The sequence below is a fragment of the Homo sapiens genome, chromosome 4 (assembly GCF_000001405.40).
Source record: "Homo sapiens chromosome 4, GRCh38.p14 Primary Assembly".
NCBI classification, from domain to species: domain Eukaryota; kingdom Metazoa; phylum Chordata; class Mammalia; order Primates; family Hominidae; genus Homo; species Homo sapiens.
In genome coordinates this window covers 113,880,919-113,886,008 of record NC_000004.12, presented here as the reverse complement: position 1 = coordinate 113,886,008, position 5,090 = coordinate 113,880,919, and the positions used below count along the sequence as shown (strand labels likewise).

The window sequence follows — 5,090 nt, the reverse complement described above, 5'->3', positions numbered from 1 at the left end:
TCCCAGTTACTCAGGAGGCTGAGGCAGAGAATTGCTTGAACCTGGGAAGTGGAGGTTGCAGTGAGCCGAAATCACACCACTGCCACTGCACTACAGCCTGGGTGACAGAGCGAGACTCCGTCTAAAAAAAAAAAAAAAAAAAAAGAAATTAGTTTGTCAATAAGATAAATTAATTCACTTCAAGAGAGCTACTAGAAGAGAAAATTCTCAACACGAAGTAATAGAATGCCCCTCCCACAGCAGAAATGAGCAGGTTAAGTGGTTAAGCCTCAGCTGACTCTCCCAAGCTAGGGAACTATAAAGGGTAAGGCTTCCTTAGAACCCTTCACAGAACCAACAAACATCTACCCTTTAGAAAACCAGCAGTTGAATGCCTACCATAGAAGTGTGGCTGCAAAAAACAGAAAAGGATAAGTAATCTACCTCATGGTGGGTTTGCTTAAGTAATGGAAGAGCGATTTCAACGAACAAAATAAACATCAGCTAATCAACTATGGGCAGTTGCATATGGAAACGGCTTTTTGACCCTTCTTCCTTCCCCCCACTCCCAGCACCAGAGAACTAAGTCCTGGAAAAGGAACAAGGTTGTGAGAAATTGTTTTCTCTACCTCCACCATAAGCAGAAGTTCCAAGCCACTGGGCCCTGAGGAAAGGAGAATTTAATTTGATTTGATTTCTGCTAACTTTGTTTATGACTTATTTCTTCATGTTTTTAATGGTATTTTGTTGTGAGATGATACTCACTGGAACTCTAAAAATTGCCTGGAAATTGTTTAAGTTCTTTCCCCCATAGCAGATTTGTCTCCTTTTGCCAAGCTCATGGGGCCATCACCAATCCAGAATCACTTTAACTTAATTATTGACTTGGGTTTTGAAGTCACATGGCAATGTGATTCTTGCCTCATACCTATGTATGTAAGGGCTTCTGGTTAGGAGTTTAAAGGATTTTCATTGTTCTTGTATTTGTTTTTAATTTTACATTCTGTTCTACCCAAAGCCAAGATGTTTTAATATGTACCTGGGATTTGTTTTAATCAGGTATGATAAAATGACAGACATGGAGATAACTGCCTTGAAAGAAGAGTTTATTGCTCACAGTCCCCCAGAGGATAGGGCATGCCACACCATGCAAAGCCACTTGGGGAAGCACCAGGGTCAATTAGGGGACAGAAGGGACAAAGGGAAACATGGACAAAAGCCGTGATTGTGTTCTTTCTTTCTTTCTTTGTTTTCAGGAACAAAGGGAGTAGGCAAGCTGAGCAAGTACAAGATTGAAATTGTTTTTAAAATTTCAGCAGGCCTTGGGCTATAGTGGTGGTCTCTAGTTACCTAGTACCTGGTTGGTGATTTAGAGCAGGGAGAATATTGGTATGGTGTGTGAGAGTTAATAAAGGAGGTGGCTGAAGGTAGAGACAGGATTGTTTGGCTTGCATATGAAAGGTATGCTCATAGGCAAGTTGTTCGCTATCTCTAGCAATTAGCTATCCTTGGAAGGGACAGTCTCTCCAAGATCAGCAAGACCCCAAGATGTCAAAGCATGATAAAATATAAAAATGCATAATTAATATTGCAAGAAGACAGACAAGTATTAACATTTCCTCCGCAAGGGTGTTTTCCCTCAAGTTCAGTCACTGAGGGTGTTGCTGTCTGGGAAGAGCAGTCTCAGATTTTTGAGGTTATCTCCGATCCAGCCTTCTATGAAACTCAAGTTCATACTATTAGTACTTTCTTTCCAGCCTCCATGCATGCAGGCAACATTATAATTCAGGCTCAAGGTTACCAACTACTGGCAGATGCTGTTCAGGTAAACAGCAAACACTGACTTCAACCTCATCTATTTTGGATTTGTGTTTTCTTATCAGTTCTGCCCTCTGATGGTTTTTCTTAATTTATCATCTTTACCATGACTTTTCAAAAGATTTTCACTTTTAATCTATTACTGCAGAGATTCCATGCTGGGATGGGTTTACCTACTCAGCTAGTCAACCATTTTCCTAAAATAAAAGTCTTACATTTACATGTTTAATGTCTCTTTGCTTGTTGAAAAATCATTCTCAATGAACTCTATTAAAACCAAGAAAAACAATCCTAAAATAGTATCTAATGAAATGTCAATCTTGGATTTTCTAGCTTTCAGACAGTTCTCTACATTTTGAACAATTGCCATTAAAGTAAAAATTACTTAAGATTTTTTACCATATACTTTGTAATTTTTATGTTTTCTAAGAAATTTTAAACCTTTCCTGTTATAATCTGAAATCTAATTTTAAAATGTGAGAATGTCAGTCTTCCCTTTTCACGATTTAAACTATTTTTGTGAGGATGTGAATATTTCTTAATGTACAGACGTTATTTTCTAGTTCACTGATTTAGAGGATAGAAGCCATTGACCCTATCTTCAGAATATGCAATATCCTCTAAATGGACAGTGGAAAAACATTTTAAAGGCCAACCAAAGAAGACTTAACTATGCATTAGACAAGAGCATAAATGTGTAGTCCATAAATTGTATCAGAAAATAAAATTTGAATTGGATAGAATGTTACAATTAAAATATATTAATTTCGTATCACTTTGCTTTCATTTTTGAGATCTGATACGCAAAAAGAAACAAAATAATTAGATAATTCAATAATCCTAAACCAGCCATTGGTATGTAGACTTTTTTTTTTTTAAGACAAAGTCTCACTTTGTCACCCATGCAGGGTGGTACAATCACGGGTCACTGCAAGCCTCGACCTTCTAAGCTCAAGCAATCCTCCCACCTCAGCATCCTGAGTACCTGGGACCACAGACACACACCACCATGCCCAGCTAATTTTTAAAATATTTTTTGTAGAGACAAGGTCTCTCTATGTTCCCCACACTGGTCTCAAACTCCTGGGCTCAAGCAGTTCTCCCACCTTGGCCTCCCAAAGTGCTAGAATCACAGGTGTGAGCCACTGCACCCAGCTGACATCTACTTTTGATTATTCAGCAGAACAGTTTGAGTTTAACTTATTGTTTCATTTTAATTTTAGTTAAACTGGAAGTTCATGAGTCATCTTAGCATGTTTTATGTCACCAAATAAACTTGGGAATTTAAATAACTACCATCAATTCATCATATTTCCATTTTCTTAGGAATCAAGCCAGGTTTGAGACCTAGCTGGTAATCAGGAAGCTTGGGAAATGCCTGCTTAACAAAAGAGATATGGACAAACATGTTTTGTATATAATGACTACACCAAAGTCATTTGCCAGTTAAGTTATCTGCCTTGTGAGAATTATTCTCGTCTGTTTATATGAAGATAAACAGAGAAAAGAGGAAGAGTTCAGAATAAACAAATACTTCTTTAATGAGTGTTGGTTCAATCTCAATACCAATCAAAAAGAAACACAATTTGAAATAAGATATTTTTCAATTATCAGCAGTAATGAAAATGGTATCATAATAACCTTATACAAGGGGGGAGTGAAATAGATGTTTCATGAACTGTTGGTTTACATATAAATTACTACCAGTCACAGGAGGACAAATTGGCATTACATAGCATCAAAAATCTTTTAAAAAAAGTATATACTTTAGCCAACTAAACTTTCAGAACTTTTCTCTTTAAAAAAGTGCAAAGATGTAGGTATATAAGTGTTTATCACAATTTTACTTATAATTGTGAAAATTTTGACAAGAATGAGGGCCTTTACTAAAGACATGGGCTAAAGAATTTGCATAGTTCTGCTCCTTTAAGGAAGAATGCACCTTCAAGCCACCTCAAACCAAAACCTTTCCTTACTAAGGACTCCCAGTAGCCTACCTACACTGTGGTTGAGTTTTCTGACTTTACTAAACATTGATTTCTATGGTTCAGCACCTCAAAATTGACTTAAAATGTATTATTAACTTGTATAACATTTATTCCTAAGTTTTATTCTAATTTCATTATTCTTATATTTTGGATTTTCTGCCTCACTCTTATTTTTCTTTAACTTAAATGGTGACTCCTACATTTTTAATAAAAACAATTTTACTTTATTTGTACATTCTTAGAAACTACTTTTAGTCTTAATAATCTCATTCATAACTTTGCTTTTTAGATCTAGCTTTTTATATTGCACATATTTTCAAACTTTATTGTTTTAAACTTAGTTGCTTTTTCCATATTTTAAAATTAATATTTTATTTTTAGAATAAATTTTACCTTAAAATTATATTTTGTTTCTGTTTTTTGTTTGTTTAGACTCATCTCTTTAAATGTCTGTTTTCAATTTATTATTTTTAATTTCTGTTTGGTTTTATTATTATTTTTTGACAGTTTCTTGCTCTGTTGCCCTTGACTTCTCAAACTCAAGTGATCCTCCTACCTCAGCCTCCCAAAAGTAACTACACCCAGCTAATTTTTTTTTTCTTTTTTGTTTTTTGTAGAGACCGGGATCTCACTATGTTTCCTAGGCTGGTCTTGAGCTTCTGGCCTCAAGCTATCTTCCCACTGTGGCCTCTCATAGTGCTGGGATTATAGTCATGAGCCACTGTGTCCAGACGATTATTTTTAGTTTGCTCTTCTGTTGAACAACCTGCTTCCATGACTCATATTCAAGACAAGAATCCTGGTCCAGCCCTGCTCACCAATGATTTCTACACCCATCTGAATGAAGAGGTTGGTTAGCTTTCTGTTCTTCTTAAACTCAATTTTCACAAGAAGTCAATTCTCCTTTTCAGTCCATTGAAACTTAACTGTGAGTTAACTTGAAATCTAACTGGCAACATGTTATAATTGCAATCTGCTTCTTAACAAAGGTACACTTTAAAGATGCATAATTGAGGACTGCCTAAAAGATATGCAATCCTTCCAAGTCTCTCTAGGAGCTTCAATGTGAGTGCATGGGTTAAGCCAGATTATCAAAAAGCTTGTACATGAGTACATAGTTTTCTGGCCCCATATAGATTAATTATATAAAATTACGTTTTGGTGTTCATTTATTGGTCTAATTTAAAGAATCATATAAGAAATTGCCCTATGAAAAGTACCTATATATTTACTGTGGAGAAATTACCGGTAACATAGTTTCTCTGGAGCAACTGCTTTGTTTTGATTTTGTGCTTATTGACATGA

The 5,090-nt window shown here is 35.7% G+C and overlaps 1 annotated feature.

Annotated features, from left to right (window-relative positions):
• Positions 960-1,461: an enhancer, noted in NCBI's record as "NANOG hESC enhancer chr4:114805704-114806205 (GRCh37/hg19 assembly coordinates)". NCBI's record gives its function as "activates a minimal SCP1, AML or CMV promoter by ChIP-STARR-seq in naive H9 embryonic stem cells {active_cell/tissue: H9 hESC(naive)}" and the evidence as "EXISTENCE:reporter gene assay evidence [ECO:0000049][PMID:30033119]".